The sequence below is a fragment of the Homo sapiens genome, chromosome 7 (genome assembly GCF_000001405.40).
Source record: "Homo sapiens chromosome 7, GRCh38.p14 Primary Assembly".
NCBI lineage: Eukaryota > Metazoa > Chordata > Mammalia > Primates > Hominidae > Homo > Homo sapiens.
The window spans coordinates 101,381,923-101,400,215 of NC_000007.14; the positions used below are offsets into that span (position 1 = coordinate 101,381,923).

At 48.1% G+C, this 18,293-nt stretch overlaps 1 protein-coding gene across 5 annotated transcripts in view, besides 5 other annotated features; it reads left to right on the plus strand.

Annotated features, from left to right (window-relative positions):
- Positions 1 to 18,293, plus strand: part of COL26A1 (collagen type XXVI alpha 1 chain) — a 196,637-nt gene that overhangs the window by 19,535 nt on the left and 158,809 nt on the right. The window lies entirely within an intron of this gene.
- Positions 4,356 to 4,971: an enhancer, noted in NCBI's record as "H3K27ac-H3K4me1 hESC enhancer chr7:101029559-101030174 (GRCh37/hg19 assembly coordinates)". NCBI's record gives its function as "activates a minimal SCP1, AML or CMV promoter by ChIP-STARR-seq in primed H9 embryonic stem cells {active_cell/tissue: H9 hESC(primed)}" and the evidence as "EXISTENCE:reporter gene assay evidence [ECO:0000049][PMID:30033119]".
- Positions 9,026 to 9,320: an enhancer, noted in NCBI's record as "tiled region #586; HepG2 Activating DNase unmatched - State 5:Enh, and K562 Activating non-DNase unmatched - State 20:ReprD". NCBI's record gives its function as "activates a minimal TATA promoter and a strong SV40 promoter by Sharpr-MPRA in HepG2 and K562 cells {active_cell/tissue: HepG2 | K562}" and the evidence as "EXISTENCE:reporter gene assay evidence [ECO:0000049][PMID:27701403]".
- Positions 9,026 to 9,403: a biological region, named in NCBI's record as "Sharpr-MPRA regulatory region 586".
- Positions 9,284 to 9,403: an enhancer, noted in NCBI's record as "active region_26407". NCBI's record gives its function as "activates an Ori minimal core promoter by ATAC-STARR-seq in GM12878 lymphoblastoid cells {active_cell/tissue: GM12878}" and the evidence as "EXISTENCE:reporter gene assay evidence [ECO:0000049][PMID:35858748]".
- Positions 16,696 to 17,297: an enhancer, noted in NCBI's record as "H3K27ac hESC enhancer chr7:101041899-101042500 (GRCh37/hg19 assembly coordinates)". NCBI's record gives its function as "activates a minimal SCP1, AML or CMV promoter by ChIP-STARR-seq in naive H9 embryonic stem cells {active_cell/tissue: H9 hESC(naive)}" and the evidence as "EXISTENCE:reporter gene assay evidence [ECO:0000049][PMID:30033119]".

Consider the following 18,293-nt stretch of genomic DNA (forward strand, 5'->3'; position numbering starts at 1 on the left):
GATCTTAGGCTCCAAAAAGAATTAAGACTGAAAGTGGCTTTGGCATCAAAAGGCTGTTAAGATTCAGCCTTGAGCTAAGGGTCATTAGAGCATGGATTTTCCATTTGTTTTTTAAAATTTTTATTTATATTTTGTTGCTATTTTGAGATAGGGTCTTGGCCTGTTTCCTGGGCTAGAGTGCAGTTGCATGATTATGGCTTACTGCAGTTTCATACTCCTGGGCTCAAGCAATCCTCCTGCCTCAGCCTCTTGAGTGGCTGGGACTGCAGGTGCATGCTACCATATCTGGTCAATTTTTAAATATTTTGTAAAGAAGAGGTCTTGCTATCTTGTCCAGGCTGGTCTCAAATTCCTGGCCTCAAGCAATTCTGGGTTGGCCTCCCAAAGCACTGGGATTACAGGTATGAGCCATCGTACCTGGCTCTGTTTCTCCATAGGCTGTGAGGTAGGGATTTAACTTAGTTTTTTGCCCAAACTGCCTTCACACTTTTATTGAATAACCCATTCTTCCTTGCTAATTTGAAATGCCACTTTTATCATATAATAAATTTCCCTATATGCATGATCCTTTTTCTGAACTCTTATTTTCTACTGAACTCTATCTGGTCTGGTGCCAAAACCACAGTTCTGTGTTTTAATTATTATATCTTTATCATATATTTTGTTAGCTGATAGAACAATTTCTCCTTCACTGTTCTTTATCAAAATATTCTTAGTTGTTCTTATACATCTTTTTATTTTGGGTGAATTTTAAAATCATCTTTTCTAGGTTTATAAAAATGCTGTTGGGATTTTGATCAGGGTGTGTTAAATTAATGGAGTCATAGGATTACAGGTTTATGGCCAAGCTTGGTGGCTCACACCTGTAATCCAAGCACTTTGGGAGGCTGAGGCGGGCAGACTGCTTGAGGCCAGGAGTTTGAGACCAGGCTGGCCAACGTGGAGAATATCGCTACTAAAAATACAAAAGTTAGCTGGGCGTGGTGATGTATGCCTGTAATCCCAGCTACTCTGGAGGTGGAGGCAGGAGAATCACTTGAGCCCCGGAGGCAGAGGTTGCAGTGAGCTGAGATCACATCACTGCACTCCAGCCTGGGTGACAGAGCAAGATCCTGTCTCAAAAAAACAAAAACAAGAAAGAATTACATGCTTATAACATTGTGTGTTTTTTAGGAACATGTCCTGCTGCTCCATTGACTCAGAGTTTTTTAGACTTAGGCATTTTATCATTTTTATTGCTGTCATGAAAGGACTCTTTTGTTCCTTGCCATTTATAAACATTTATGTTTGGCAGGTAGGAAAGCTGTTCATTTGAGGCATGTCGATTTTGTATCAGCTACCTTTGTGAATTTTCAAAAAATTATTTTAATTTTTTTTTAGGTAGTTCTCTAGGGTTTTTGGAGGTGGAGAATTTTATTTTTTATTTTTATTTTTATTTTTTATTTTGAATTTTAATTTTTTGAGATGGAGTTTCACTTTTGTTGCCCAGGCTGGAGTACAATGGCACGATCTCAGCTCACCGCAACCTCCACCTCCTGGGTTCAAATGATTATCCTGCCTCAGCCTCCGAAGTAGCTGGGATTACAGGCATGTGCCACCACGCCTGGCTAATTTTTTTTTTCTTTTTTATGAGACAGAGTCTCGCTCTGTTGCCCAGGCTGGGGTGCAGTGGCATGATCTTGGCTCACTGCAATCTCTGCCTCCCCGGTTCAAGCGATCCTCCTGCCTCAGCCCCCCTAGTAGCTGGGATTATAGGCATGTGCCACCGTGCCCAGCTACTTTTTGTATTTTTAGTAGAGACAGGGTTTCGCCATGTTGGCCAGGCTAGTCTTGAACTCCTGACCTCACGTGATCCACCTGCCTCGGCCTCCCAAAGTGCTGGGATTACAGGCATGAGCCACAGCGCCCTGCCTAATTTTGTATTTTTAGTAGAGATGGGATTTCTCTATGTTGGTCAGGCTGGTCTCAAACTCTTGACCTCAGCTGATCTGCCCACCTCGGCCTCCCAAAGTGCTGGGATTACTGGCATGAGCCGCTGTGCCCAGCCGATAATTTTTTTTTTAAGGAAGGCAATATTTTTTGCAAGTTTGTTTATTTATTTATTTATTTGAGACAGGGTCTCACTCCATTGACAAGCCTGGAGTGCCGTGATGCAATCACTCTTTACTGCAGCTTCCAACTCCTGGGCTCAGGTGATCCTCCCATCCCAGCCTTCTGAGTAGCTGAGACCACAGGCGTGCGCCACCATGCTTGACTAATTTTTAAATTATTTGTAGAGATGGGGGTCTTCCTATATTGTTCAGGCTGGTTTTTTTTTTTTTTTTTTTTTTTTAAGACGGAGTCTCACTGTGTTGCCTAGGCTAGAGTTCAATAGCGTCATCTCGGCTTACTGCAACCTCCGCCTCCGGGGTTCAAACCATTCTCCTGCCTCAGCCTCCCGAGTAGCTGGGATTACAGGCTTCAGCCAGCTAAATTTTGTATTTTTAGTAGAGATGGGGTTTCACCATGTTGGACAGGCTGATCTTGAACTCCTGACCTCAGGTGATCCACCTGCCTTGGCCTCCCAAAGTGCTGGGATTACAGACATGAGGTACTGTGCCTGGCCTCAGGCTGGTCTTGACCTCCTGGGCTCAAGCAATCCTCCAGCCTCGGCCTCCCAGTGTGTTGGGATTACAGGCATGAGCTATTGCACCTGGCCAGTGGAGACTCTTATAGTCTTCCAATGTGTGTGTATGTGTGTTGGTCATTGTGTGTGTTAGGACTCTCTAGAGGGGCAGAACTAATAGGATATATATGTATATATGAAAGGGAGTTGATTAAGGAGAATTGACTCATGCAATCACAGGGTGAAGTCCCATAATAAGCCGTCTACAAGCTGAGGAGCTAGGAAGCCAGCAGTGGTTCGTCCTAGTTCCAAAACCTCCAAAGTAAGGAAGCCAACAGTGCAGCCTTCAGTCTGTGGCTGAAGGTCTGAAAGCCCCTGGCAAACCACTGGCGTACATTTAAGAGTTCAAAAGCTGAAAAGCCTGGCGTCTGATATTTGAGGGCAGGAAGCTTCCAGCACGGGAGAACAATGAAGGCTGGAAGACTCAGCAAGTCAGCTCCTTTCACCTTCTCTGCCTGCTTTTTCTAGCCACGCTGGCAGCCGATTGAATGGTGCCCACCCACATTGAGGGTGGGTCCTCCTCACCCAGTCCACTGACTCAACTGTTAATCTCCTCTGAAAACACCCAGAAACAACTAGAAACAATACTTTGCATTCTTCAATCCAATCAATTTGACACTATATATACACACACACACACACACTATATATATATATATATATACACACACACACATATATATGTGTATATATATAGTATGTGTGTGTATATACGGTGTGTGTGTATATATATACTCGACACTAAATATGTATATATATATATGTGTATATATATGTGTGTATATATATATATATATATTTGTGACGGAGTCTCACTCTGTTGCCCAGGCTGCAGTGCAGTGGCGTGATCTTGGCTCACTGCAACCTCCGCAGCCTGGGTTCAAGTGATTCTCCTGCCTCAGCCTCCTGAGTAGCTGGGATCACAGGCATCCGCCACCATGCCCAGCTAATTTTTGTATTTTTAGTAGAGATGGGGTTTCTCCATGTTGGCCAGGCTGGTCTCGAACTCCTGACCTCAAGTGATCCACTTGCCTCAGCCTCCCAAAGTGCTGGGATTACAGGCGTGAGCCACCACGCCTGGCCCCATACAATTGAAAAAAATTTTTTTTAATTTTTTAATTTATTTGTTTATTTGTTTTTTGAGTCTCACTCTGTCGCCCAGGTTGGAGTGCAGTGGTGCGATCTCGGCTCACTGCAAACTCTGCCTCCCAGGTTCACGCCATTCTCCTGCCTCAGCCTCCCAAGTAGCTGGGACTACAGGCGCCCACCACCACGCCCGGCTAATTTTTTGTATTTTTAGTAGAGACCGGATGTTAGTTAGCTAGTAGTTAGCTAGGATGGTCTCGATCTCCTGACCTCGTGATCTGCCTGCCTCGGCCTCCCAAAGTGTTGGGATTACAGGCGTGAGCCACCGCGCCCGGCCACAATTTTTATATGTTGGTTATACCTCAGAGAAATAGGGGAATAAAAAACCTCAAAACCTTGTTGAGTTTCATCAAGGGTGGGGCTTCATCTTTTTTGCAGAGGATGTCCGAAGTAGAAGGCTCTGAGGGGAGAGAAAAGTTCTAGAGAGGGGATGATGCTGCAGTTGGCCAGACTGCATTCTGAATTGTGTATCTCCTGCCGAGTGTCTGCCCTGAGCAGGCCTCCTCTGGTCCTGTCCTAGCTTGTTTTTTTTTTTTTTTTTTTTTTTAATTTTTTGAGACAGGGTCTGGCTCTGTTGCCCAGGCTAAGTGCAGTGGCACGATCACGGCTCACTGCAGCCTCAACCTCCTGGGCTCAAGCAAGCCTCCTGAGTAGCTAGGACTACAGGTGTGCACCACCTAGCTAATTTTAATCTTTATTTTTTTTGAGATAGGGTTTCACTCTGTTGCCCAGGCTGGAGTGCAGCGGTGCACCGCACCTGGCCCTGGCTTGCTTTGTTCTCGTTTCACGCACTTCATCTGCAGCTGAACCGCAGGCCCCTGGGGGTCAGGAGCCCTGTCCCAGAAGGTTATGTCTGTCACGACAGGTAATCCAGCACTGAGCACAGGATGTGAATTAAAACAATCCCTTATTGAATCAACGGCAGCTGGACCCACTGGGACAGCGCTGTGTTGACTTTTTGGGCTGCAAAGTCCAACTCACGCAGGAGCTCACAAGGCTGGAGTTGGATTCTGACCCGAAGTGAACCAGGAGTGAACAGGGAGCACGGTGGACCCAGACCCAATGTGAGGGTCCAGGCTGTTGCCTGAGTAAGGAGTTTGGCAGGAAAGCTCAATATTCTGTACTGGAAGGGGGTGGTAGCATTGCAAGTTGTCTGCCTGCTAGGCCTAGGTCCGGGACAGCTGCTTGTGGGGACAGCTGTCTCAGCGTCGGACAGAGCATCTGCCCTAGATTAATCCCAGAACCTGGCCACGCCCCTGGGGAGCAGAGCCGGGGTAGGGTTACCGCACACCAGGAAACGCGCCTGCTTTGCTGACAGCGGGTGGGTAGCTTGCAGGATGGATGGGCTCTGGGGGCGGCCAGGGGTGCCACTGGGAAAGGCAGACTCACTGCTGGCTGAGCCAAAGCCACCCCCACGGGATGCAAGCTGACACTCCCAAGAGCTGCTTTCTTTCCGCTGGACCCGAAACCGGCACGAGATGATCTCCAAGAATTATGAGAAGAGTTGGGAATGGAAACCAAATGTTCGTGTCAGGTAGAAAAAGCTGATGGAAGCCCATAGCCCAGCAGGCTCTGGGTGCTTCAGGGTTCAGGCTCCTGTGGTCAGCACAGATGTTTAGGTGAAAGAAACCCGACACACTGAAAAAAAAAAAAGTTTATTTTTTCCCCCTTGATTATATTTATTATAGAAAACCTGGAAAATCTGGAAAAGTGAAAAATCATTTATCATTGTATTTTGCAAACATTTTAAACTTTTTATTATTTATATTGTGGTAAAATAGACCTAACAGACGATTTACTGTCTTTTATTTTCTTCTTTTTATTTTTATTTTTTTTTGAGACAGAGTTTTACTCTGTCACCCAGGCTGGAGTGCAGTGTGAAGCATTCTCTCTCTCGCTCTCTCTCTCTCTCTTTATATATATATAAATACATACATATATATATAAAGAGAGAGATTTTATATATATATTGTAATATTTTTTAACATATATTTTAATATAATTATATATATATATATATTTATATATATATATATATATATATATTTTTTTTTAAGACAGAGTCTCACTGTGTCACCCAGGCTGGAGTGCAGTGGTGCAATCTCGACTCACTGCAACCTCCATCTCCTGGGTTCAAGCGATTCTCATACCTCAGCCTCTCGAGTAGCTGGGACTATAGGCATGCGCCACCATACCTGGCTAGTTTTTGTTTCTTATTAAAGAGGGGTTTCACCATGTTGGCCAAGTATCGGACTCCCAGCCTCAAGTGATTTGCTCACCTCAGCCTCCCAAAGTGCTGGGAGTACAGGCGTGAGCCACTGCGCCCTGCCAAAATTTACCATCTTAAACCATTTCCCAGTGTATAGCACAGTGGCATTAAAGACATTTACATTGTCATGCAATCACCATCACCATCCATCTCTGGAACTCTTTTCATCTTGCAAAACTGAAACTCTGGGCCGGGCGCCGTGGCTCACGCCTGTAATCCCAGTACTTTGGGAGGCTAAGGCGGGTGGATCACCTGAGGTCAGGAGTTCAAGACCAGCCTGGCCAACATGGTGAAACCCTGTCTCCACTAAAAATACAAAAAATTAGCTGGGTGTGCTGGTGGAAGCCTGTAATTCAGCTATCTGGGAGGCTGAGGCAGGAGAATCTCCTGAACCCGGGAGACGGAGGTTGCAGTCAGCCGAGATCGCGCCATTACACTTCAGCCTGGGCAACAAGAGCAAAACTCTGTCTCAAAAACAGACAAACAAAAAGCCCCGAAACTCTGTACCTGTGAAATGCTAACTGCATTTCTGTCCTCCCCTGGCCCCTGGCAATCACCACCTATTTTCTTTTTTTTTTTTTGAGACAGTCTCACTCTGTTGCCCAGGCTCGAGTGTAATGGCACGATCTCAGTTCACTGCAACCTCCACCTGCCAGGTTCAAGCAATTCTCCTGCCTCAGCCCCCCAACTAGCTGGGACTAGGGGCACAGCCACTGTGCCCGGCTAAGTTTTTTTTTGTACTTTTAGTAGAAACAGGGTTTCACCATGTTGGCCAGGCTGGTCTCAAACTCCTGACCTCAAGTGATCCTCCCGCCTCGGCCTCCCAAAGTACTGGGATTACAGGCGTGAGCCACCATGCCTGGCCCTTTTTCTTTTCAGCCTTGGACTTAGCGACTGAGTAGCTCCTCTTGTACATTGCCTTTCTGGAACACATAGCAGATCAGGAATATCTACCAATTCCTCTGACAAGGACAGGATTTTGGCCGCCATGGGGCTTCCCCTTCTTGGGCTTTTTAGCCTTGAGGTGACCGTTTTTCACCTTGCCACCAGAATCAGCCTTCTTGGCTTCAGGTTTCCTCAGTATCCGTCTTAACATTTTCACCCACTGTCTTGCAAGATGGGAAAGAGCGGGTTTTGACCGAATGGGTATGAAGTGGTATCTCATTGTGGTTTTGATTTGTCTTTTCCTAATGATTAGTGATGTTGAACATCTTTTTAGGTGCTTGCTGGCCATTTGTATATCTTCCTTGGAGAAATTTCTATTATTAAGCTGTTAGCCCTGTTTTGAATTGGGTTGTTTCTATATTGTTGTTGAGTTGTAGGAGTTCCTTATGTATCTGGATATTAACCCTTTATCAGATGTATGATTTGCACATTTTTTTTTTTTTTTTTTTTGAGATGGAGTCTCACTCTGAAGCCCATGCTAGAGTGCAGCGGCTCAGTCTTGGCTCACTGCAACCTCTGCCTCTGGGGCTCAAGCGATTCTCCTGCCTCAGCCTCCTGAGCAGCTGGGACTACAGGCATGCACCACCATGTCCAGCTATTTTTTTTGTATTTTATTTTATTTTTTGAGATGGAGTTTTTCTCTTGTTGCCCAGGCTGGAGTGCAATGGCGCGATCTTGGCTCACGGCAACCTCTGCTACCCGGGTTCAAGAAATTCTCGTGCCTCAGCCTCTCGAGTAGCTGATTACAGGCATGCGCCACCATGCCCAGCTAATTATGTACTTTTAGTAGAGACGAGGTTTCTCCATGTTGGGCAGGCTGGTCTCGAACTCCCAACCTCAGGTGATCCGCCCATCTCGGCCTCCCAAAGTGCTGGGATTACAGGCGTGAGCCACCGCGTCTGGCAATTTTTTGTATTTTAGTAGAGATGGGGTTTCACCGTGTTGCCCAGGTGGTCTTGAACTCCAGAGCCCAGGAGATTTCCCCACCTCTTCTTGTATTCTGTGAGTTGCCTTTTCACTCTGTTGATTGGATCTTTCGATGCACAGAAATTTTTACTTTTGATGTAACTTAATTTATTGATATCTCTTTTTTTCTCCTGTTGGCTGGGCTTTTTTTGGGTGTCATAGCCAAGAAATCATTGCCAATCTAGTGTCATGAAGCTTTTAAGAGTTTTAGACCTTTTAGGTCTCATGTTAAGGGTTTTTTTTTTTTTTTTTTTTTTTTTTTGAGACAAAGTCTCATTCTGTCATCCAGGCTAGGGTGCAGTGGCACAATCTCAGCTCGCTGCAACCTGCCTTCTGGGTTCAAGCGATTCTCCTGCCTCAGCCTCCCGAGTAGCTGGAATTACAGGTGTGTGCCACCTGTAATGGGGTTTCACCGTGTTGGCCAGGCTGGTCTTGAACTCCTGACCTCAAGCGATCTGCCCGCCTCGGCCTCTCAATGTGCTAGGATTACAGATGTGAGGCACTGAGCCTGGCTTTAGTTTTGTTTTGGTGAGACAGGGTCTTGCTCTGTTGTTCAGGCTGGAGGGCAGTAGTGCAATCATAGCTCACTGCAGCCTCAAACTCCTGGGCTCAAGCCATCCACCCACCTCTGCCTCCTGAGTAGCTGGGACTACAGGCATGCACTACCATGCCTGGCTACTTTTTAAATTTTTTGAGAAATGGGATCTTGCTATATTGTCCAGGCTGGTCTCAAACTCTTGGCCTCAAGTAATCCTCCAGCCTCAGGCTCTCAAAGCATTCAGATTACAGATGTGAGCCACCATGCCTGGCCTGGAGCCACTTTTAAAGAAGCCACCAGCTTTAGGGCATGGAAGTGGATGGAGAAGGGAGATATTTCTAAAAATTTCTTGGAAATATCTGGTGAGGTCTCAGGGATTCCGAGGCTGGGAAGCTCAGTGGGCTGTGCAACCGGTCCAGGCTGTGTGGGGAGGGGGCCTTGCCTGTGGGCCTCCCGGGGACCTCAGAATTCTTTGCTCCTCTCTCCTCCCACTGTGGCTTTAGAGATCCTTTCCCTCTCTAGGTCTACTCTTTGGCCTGTGCCCTTTGCCTCTGGCCTGACCTGCTAACCAAAGCCTTCTGTTCTGAGGTCAGCCGCTGCCTGGCTGTGGTAACAGGAGCCTCAGGGGAACAGAGCAGCGGAAGGAAAGGGGGATGGGGAGGGCCCCAGCCCTTGAAGCTGAGCAGATGGCAAAGAAAAACATGGCCTGTTTGCCTCTCTGGGGTGTCCGGTTCTGGGGGCAAGGCAGGAGTTTCTCTGGTCTCAGTTTATTCACACATGACTGTGCGTGGGAGCATATAGGGGGGTGTGGGTCACCCCCTTTTTGCTGGAAGCATCCGGGCCTGGCCGGGATTCTATTTTTTTTATTTTTTTTAAAAAGTGTTCCTGGGGCCTGATTGTATCTGATCTGTGAATTCATCTTGGGCAAGGGCTGTGATATACTCCTGGGCCCGTATCCTAGGACCTAGAGAAGGTCCTATTGGATGACAGCTGGAGCCAGGAAATTTCAGAAGCAAACTAGAGTCTTCATGTTTCTCATTTAGTCCTTCTAGGTCTTCTCTATGGTTCTCTGGAAGGAGACATTGATCTCTGCATTTGGACCCTATTTTTATTATTATTTATTTTTGAGACGGAGTCTCACTCTTCTGCCCAGGCTGGAGTGCAGTGGCACGATCTCAGCTCACTGCAACCTCCACCTCCCAGGTTCAAAGAGATTCTCCTGCCTCCCGAGTAGCTGGGACTACAGGCGTGTGCCACCACGCCCGGCTAATTTTTCTATTTTTAGTAGAGACGGGGTATCACCATGTCAGTCAGGCTGGTCTCAAACTCCTGACCTCAAATGATCTGCCCACCTCGGTCTTCCAAAGTGCTGGGGTTATAGGCATGAGCCACCATGCCAAGCCTTTCTTTTCTTTTCTTTTCTTTTCTTTTCTTTTCTTTTTTTTCTGTAGAGATGTGGTCTTGCTATGTTGCTCAGGCTGATCTTGAATTCCTGGTCTCAAGTGATCCTCCCGCCTCAGCTTCCTAAAGTGCTGGGATTACAGGCATGAGCCACAGCACCTGGCCTGGAAGTGCATTCTCAGAGTCCAGCAGGGCAGTGTGTGTTCTTCGAGGCAGGGAAGTGTATGGGCCTGAGACATCAGTGGATGCAAATGGCTAAGGAAAGAGGTCATTCTGGCAGAGGAGGGAGAAGTTGCTAGAGATTTCACTGCAGAGGTGTGACGGGGCTGGGCCGTGAGGGTGGCGGGTGCACAGGCAGGAGGGTTACTCCAGGTTGCAGGAAAACAGCAGGAGTGAAGGTACATGAGGGCCATGAGTCTGGCCTGTTGGGGCAGTGTGCATCTACCTCCTGCCCCCCAGCTATAGGCACCGGTTCCTTTTTCCATCTGTTGTTATGAGCAGGTGCCTTCCGTACCAGCTAGGGAACAAGTATCCAACAACCAGGCTTTTTTTTTTTTTTTTTTTTTTAAGATGGAGTCTCACTCTGTCATCTAGGCTGGACTGTAGTGGTGCCATCTCAGCTCACTGCAACCTCCGCCTCCCGGGTTCAAGCAATTCTCCTGCCTCAGCCTCCTGAGTAGCTAGGATTACTGGTGCCCACCACCATACCTGGCTAATTTTTGTATTTTTAGTAGAGATGGGGTTTCACCACATTGGCCAGGCTAGTGTCAAACTCCTGACCTCGAGTGATCCACCCGCCTCAGCCTCCCAAAGTGCTGGGACTACAGGGATGAGCCATTGCACCTGGCCAAAAACCAGGCTTTTTGGTGATGGCTGGGAACCCAGAAAGGGTGACAGTCATTTGTGATCCAATTCCTAGTTGTCTGAAATGTGCCTCCCTCCACCGCATGGCCTCACCACTGATAGCTTGGTCACCTATCAGCTGTGTGGTCTGGGCTTGCCACGGGTGGGACGCAGGAGAGTGGCCCTCAAAGATAGGTAAGTCCTAATCCCTGCAACCTGTGAATATGCTACTTTACATGGTAAAAGGGACTGTTCAGATGTAAACAAAATAAGGATCTTTTTTACATTTTCAATAAAAAAATGTTTTTTTGTTTTTTTTTTTTTTGAGATGGAGTCTCGCTCTATTGCCCAGGCTGGAGTGCAGTGGCACAATCTCAGCTCACTGCAACCCCCACCTTCTGGGTTCAAGCAGTTCTCCTGCCTCAGCCTCCCAGTAGCTGAGATTACAGGCGTGTGCCACCATGCCCAGCTAATTCTTTTGTAATTTTAGTACAGACAGGGTATATTAGTCAGAGTTTTCTAGAGGGACAGAACTAATAGGATATATGTATATGGGAGTTTGTTAAGGAGTATTAACTCCTGAATTAACACGATCACAAGGTCTCACAATAGGCCATCTGCAAGCTGAGGAGCAAGGAAGCCAGTCTGAGTCCCAAAGCTGAAGAAATTGGAGTTGGATGTTTCAGGGCAGGAAGCATCCAGCACGGGAGAAAGATGTGGGCTGGGAGGCTAGGCCAGTCTAGCCTTTTCACATTTTTCTACCTGCTTTATATTCTAGCTGCACTGGCAGCTGATGAGATGGTGCCCACCCAGATTGAGGGTGGGTCTGCCTTTCCCAGCCCACTGACTCAAACTGACAACATCTTCACAGACACACCCAGGATCAATACTTTGCATCCTTCAATCCAATCAAGTTGACACTCAGTATTAACCATCACACAGGGTTTCATCATGTTGGCTGGGCTGGTCTTGAACTCCTGACCTCAGATGATCCACCTACCTCAGCCTCCCAAAGTGCTGGGATTACAGGTGTGAGCCACTGTGCCTGGCCAATTTTTAATTTATTTTAGAGACAGGGTCTCACTCTGTCACCCAGGCTGGAGTGCAGTGGTGTGATCCTAGCTCACTACAGCCTCAAACTTCTGGGCTCCAGGGATCCTCCCACTTCAGCTTCCTGAGTAGCTGCGACTACAGGTGTGTGCCACTACACCTGGCTAATTTTTAAAAATATTTTATTTTTTAGATTAAAAAAAAATTTTTTTTTTAGAGATGGGATCTTGCTATGTTGCCCAGGCTGGTCTCAAACTTCTGGCCTCAAGTAGCCCTCCTGCGTAAGCCTCCCAAAGTGCTGGGATTATAGGCATGAGCCACTGCGCCTGGCTGGGAACCAATGCTTATTGAGCACCTACTGTGTACTAGGCTTAGAGCTAGGACCAGTGGACCTTGTAAGAGGGTAGCAAGAGGGCCAGAGTGAGTAGTAGGAGATGTTACCATGGAAACCAGAGGTTGGAGTGATGTCAAAAAGAAGCCTCCAGCCAAGGGACAGGGGGATCTCTAGAAGCCAGGAAAGGCAAGAAATAGATTCTCCCACGGAGACTCTGGAGGAAACTCACCTGCTGTCACCTTGGACGTCTCATTTCTAGAATGATAAGATTATAAACGTGTGCTGTTTTAAGTCACTCAGTTGGTGGTAATTTGTTATAGCACAAGGGGTTTTGTTTGTTTTTTAGAGACAGGGTCTTGCTGTGTTGCCCAGGCTAAAGTGCAATGGTACAATAATAGCTCACTGCAGCCTCGAATTCTTGGCCTTAAGCAATCCTCCTGCCTCAGCCTCCTGAGTAGCTGGGACCACAGGTGTGTACCACCACGCCTAGCTATTTTTTTCTTTTCTTTTTTTTTTTTTTTTTTGTAGAGATGGGGTCTCGCTATGTTGCTCAGGCTGGTCTTGAACTCCTGGGCTGAAGCGATCCTCCTGCTTCCACCTCCCAAAGTGCTGGGATTACAGGAATGAGCTGCTGCGCCCGGCCAACCACACTCTTTTCTCTCATCTGTAGAATGGTCTCAGTATCCTTGTCCTGACTCTGTGTCTCTGAGGATGAGAAAGCAGGAGACCTCCAGTTCTCCTTGGCTGTTGCTGTAGATTTGTTTCCATAAAGCGGTTTCTTTTTCTTTTCTTTTTTTTTTTTTTTTTTTTTTGAGACAGAGTCTCGTGCTGTCACCTAGGCTAAGGTGCAGTGGTGTGATCTCGGCTCACTGAAACCTCTGCCTCCCAGGTTAAGTGATTCTCGTGCCCCAGCCCCTTGAATAGCTGTGATTACAGGTGCCTGCCACCATGCCTGGCTAATTTTTGTATTTTTAGTAGAGACGGGGTTTCTCCATGTTGGCCAGGCTGGTCTTGAACTACTGACCTCAGACGATCCGTCTGCCCTGGCCTCCCAAAGTGCTGGGATTGCGGGCATGAGCCACCGCGCCCAGCCCCATAAAGCAGTTTCTAGATCTCACTGTCATATGGCTCCGAATGTCCTGTTGTGAGATCTCTTCTGAAAGGGAGAAAACCTTATCCTGAGGAATTCTAACCGAAAGCCTGGAGAACCCACCACAGACTGATTAAAAGAAATCTTTCTCGTAGGAAAACTGCAAGTCCTGAGTCTCCAGCTTTTTCATGTGTGACCCTTGGGTGGCCCACTTCAGAGCATTCTGCAGCTTGTGATGGGTTTAATTTTCTGTTTTGATCCCACGGTGAAACCACAAATGAGTAGAAGTGCCTTAGGCAGGCCCTCCGCCCTGGTAGCCCCACTCTTGGGATGAGGCTAGGTGGGAACTGGCCGTCTGCAGGGGTTCCTGGGAAAAAAGCTCTTTAATCAGCGGGGCTGGAGGGAAAATGGCTCTGCAGGAATGAATTGAGAACTTGAAACGGCATCTTTCCCTCTGGTTGCCAGGGGAGAGTTGCAATTCTTTTGCGGTGATTTTGTGACTTTCTTGTGGTCAACCCCCTGGTGCCTGTCGGACTTGAGCACAGCAGCCAGATGAGAGGGGAAAAATAGGGGGAAGGTGGCTCCTTCCACCTGAGGGACATCTGCCTTTAATCACCGCTGAAAACAAAGCAGGCCAAGGAATTGCCTGCGACCCGCTGAGGGCAGCTCAGGTATCTCTGGAGGCTGCAGCCTTGGGGTTGTCGAGGGTCTCAGCCTTGGGGTCTTTGTGCACTTAGGTGCTCTGGGAGAAAACCTTCTGGAACTTTGTTTTGTTCACATCCGGCCCTTGCTTGAAAACTCCTGGTGGCCCAGCATGGTGGCTCACGCCTGTAATCCCAGCATTTTGGGAGGTTGCAGTGGGAGGATTGCTTGAGCCCAGGAGTTTGAGGCCAGCCTGGGCAACATAGTGAGATCCTGTTTCTACCAAAAAACCAAAAAAACATTAGCCAGGTGTGGTGTGGTGGTGAGTGCCTATAGTCCCAGCTACTGGGGAGGGTGAGGGGGGGATAATTGCTTGAACCCAGGAGGTTGAGGCTGCAGTGAGCCGAGATCGCACCACTGCACTCCAGTCTGGATGACAGAGCAAGACCCTGTCTTTAAAACACAACACAACACAACACAAAACTCCTAGTGGTTCCCCATGCCTCAGGCCAAGGTTCAAATCCCATAGCATGGCACTTAAGGCCTTTGTCTCTTCCTAGTCTACTGCCCAGCCTCAGCCTCACTTCCCAGCCCCTGACTGACTACTCCAAGCCCCATAGAGCTGCTCCTCTGACAATTCCAGAGCTGTTAAGCATTTCTTTTTTTTTTGAGATGGAGTCTTGCTATGTTGCCCAGGCTGGAGTGCAGTGGCACAATCTCAGCTCACTGCAACCTCTGCCTCCCGGGTTCAAGCAATTCTCCTGCCTCAGCCTCCCTAGTAGCTGGGACTACAGGTGCCCGCCATCATGCCTGGCTAATTTTTGTATTTTAGTACAGATGAGATTTCACCATGTTGGCCAGGCTGGTCTTGAACTCCTGACCTCAAGTGATCCACCCACCTCGGCCTCCCAAAGGTGCTGGGGTTACAGGTGTGAGCTACCACTCCTGGCCATGCTCTTTAGAGGACTGTGGCACCCTAGAGGAGGACAGAATCCCAGGCTTGGGGACAAGGGTTTGATGTCAGAGACTGGAGAATGCAGCTCCCTAGAGCAAGACCCAGTGGAGATCAGACGGTGAATGTGTGGAAGAACTGGGGCTCCACATCTTGTGGCTGTGGGGTGCTCCTTCAGCAGCCCAGGCCTGGGGTGACGCTGGGTAGATGGGGCTGTAAGATGCAGAGGTGGGGGAATGAGGAGCAAAGACAGGCTCCAAAGCATGGGATGGAGAGACATGGCCAAAGGTGAGGCTTTGGGAACAAAGGGAGGGGCTAGAGTCCCTGTGCAATGGGTGAAGTTGACCTCCCTGTCCCTCCCCGGCAGAACCAGACACCACCTTCTAAGGGCTCCTGTGCACTGCAGGTCCTTGCCTGTTCTTGTCACCTGTGTCATGTTTCTGTGATTCTTTGTGTTGTCTGTGTCTTCTCATTAGATTGCAGGTCTCCTTTTCAGCTGTCTCAGGCCAGTAAGTGTCTCAGGATCTGGTGCTTAGAAAGGGCTTCACAAATGTTCATTGAACAGAGGACTTAGAATTGCTTTCTTTTCCTTCCTTCCTTCCTTCCTTCTTCTTCATCTTCTTTCTTTTTTTTTATCTTTCTTTTTTCTCTTCTTTCTTTTCTCTTTCTTTACTTCTTTTCTCCTTCCTCCTTTCTTTGCTCTCCTTCCTTCCTTCCTTCTCCTTTCCTTCTCCTTCTCCTTCCCTTCCCTTCCCTTCCTTCTCTCCTCCCCCCCCCTCCTTTTTTTTTTTGAGACAGGGTCTCCCTCTGTCACCCAGGGTGATGTGCAATGGTGGGGTCATAGCTCAGTGCAGCCTCAACCTCCTGGGCTCAAGTGATCTTCCTGCCTTAGCCTCCCGAGTAGCTGGGACTACAGGCACACACCACCGTGCCTGGATAATTTTTTGTTGTTTGCAGAGACAAGGCATCTTGCTAGGTTGCCCAGGCTGGTCTCGAACTCCTGGCTTCAAGCAGTCTTCCCACCTCAGCCCCCCAAGGTGCTGGGATTACAGGTGTGAGCCACCATGCCTGGTCTAAAGTGTATAATCTCAACTATACAGCTTGATGAGTTTCTACTTATGTGTATGCTCATGTAAACCACCATTCAGGCCCAGAGGGAGAACATTTCCAGCACCCAGAGGGCTCTGGTGTGCCCAGGTAGGCCCCCTAGAGGTAACCATGGTTCTGATTTCATCACCATAGAATAGCTTTGCCTGTCCTTGAATGTCATATAAACAGAATCATTCAGCATGAACTCTATTGGGTGTGACTTCTTTTGCTCTGCATCATCTCTGTGTGATTCATTTAGATTGTTGAAGTGGCTTGTGCTTTTTCAGTGCTGTGTACTATTCCACTGCAGGAATCCCATGCTGCTTCCATTCTCCTTTCGTGGACATTCTGGATTGTTTTTCACTGTATCTATTTTACAATCTATTGGAGAATATGAGCTGGAGCTTGTCAGCTTGAACTTGTCATTTTCCAATGAGGAGACCTGGAGATTAGGGGTCACTTAGCCAATGTCACCTGGGAAGTCACAGGCTGAGCTGGGATAAGACCCCAGTTTCTTGACACACAGCTCTGTGATTCCCTCTCCCTCCGCCCATAAAGGGCAGAAATACGAACTCCTGAGCTTTCTCGGCAACCAAGTCCTCTTATTGGGCTTATGGACATGTCCGCTTATGGACGGAATCCTGACTTTCCCTCGCCCCAAGTCAGCAGGTCACAGAGAACCCAAGCAGCCTCTAAGATGTCATAGGTCTCCCTCCTGACCTGCAATAATGGCAAGAATCAATGTGTCAGCGGCTGCTTTTCGTCGTGTGCTTCCGTGAGCCAGACTTTGCACCAAGGGCAAATGTGTTATTCACCCTCTCAGCCCTGCTTCCTTGTCTGTACCTCGGGAAGCAATTCAGTCCCCTCCCCAGTTATCACTCCCCAAAGCAGCGCGTAGAGTTCTCAGAGGGCCGCTGCAGAGGAGGGGGTCGACTTTGCTGAGTCGAAGCCCTTCATCATAAGGGCATTATCAGGCGGCAGTCTGATTAGAATCACAAATGCCTGGCTAGGGTAGATATGGGAGGAGGGGCTGATTCTGTGCTGGGAAGGTGGGAGTGGTGCGGGATGCTTACCCAGGTGTGGAGTGAGCCCCTGGGTGGGCTGCACAGGGGGATGGACAGAGCTTTAAAATACTCAGTGTGGGTCAGAATTGCCCATCAAGATGAGAGACACTAGGCGTGGTGGCTCATACCTGTAATCCCAGCACTTAGGGAGGACGAGGGAGGAGGATTGCTTGAGCCCAGGAGCTTCAGACCAACCTGGGCAATATAGTGAGACCCCCATCTCTACAAAAAATTTCAAAATTAGCCAGGTGTGGTGGCGCAGGCCCATAGTCTCAGCTGCTCAGGAGGCTGAGGCGAGAGGATTGCTTGAGCCCAGGAGGTCAAGGCAACAATGAGCTATAATTGTGCCACTGTACTCCAACATGGGCAACAGAGTGACACTCTGTCCAAAAATTTTAAAAAAAGGAATATTCTTTCTAATGAGCTTTCTTTCCCTTTGTCTCTCTCTTCTTTCTTTCTTTCTGAAGCACGATCTCAGCTCACTGGAACCTCCATCTCCTGTGTTCAAGCAATTCTCCTGCCTCAGCCTCCTGAGTAGCTAGGATTACAGGTGTGCACCACCACACCTGGCTAATTTTTGTATTTTTAGTAGATATGGGATTTCACCATTTTGCCCAGGCTGGTCTTGAACTCCTGACCTCAGGTGATCCTCCTGCCTCGGCCTCCCAGAGTGCTGGGATTACAGGTATAAGCTACCACACCTGGCTAAATTTTGTATTTTTAATAGAGACAGAGTTTCACCATGTTGCCCAGGCTGGTCTCAAACTCCTGACCTCAGCTGATCCTCCTGCCTCAACCTCTCAGAGTGCTAGGATTACAGGCGTGAGCCATTGTGCCCCGCCTTCATTCTAATTTTGAACATGCATTCCCATGGGAAATAATCTGATCACAAAATATGTTAGAAACAACATAAGAATCATAAAGTTGTTTCTTCCAATACACAGTTTATGTATAATTAGTTCTTCCATGGCCCCCGCTGCCCCTGGCCTTCCCAGATATTTACTTATCACCCACTCAATGCCAGATGCTGCCGCAGAGATCCAAGTTGAGTAAGTCTCTGCTCTCAGGGAGAGAGAGACAGTCATGTCCGGGGGTGGTACAGTGGCTGCGAGTGCTGTGGGCAGAGTTGGAGGAACCAAAGGGCGGGGACCAAATCTGTGCAGAGGGGACAGCAAATATTTGAGAGTGAAGGGGCCACTTGAGCAGGATGTGGAAGACGAGTAGGTGGCCCTCAGGGAGGCAGGGGTGGGGAGGGGAGTAGGCATTCTAGACTTTGGTGGGCTAAAGGCCCAGATGTGG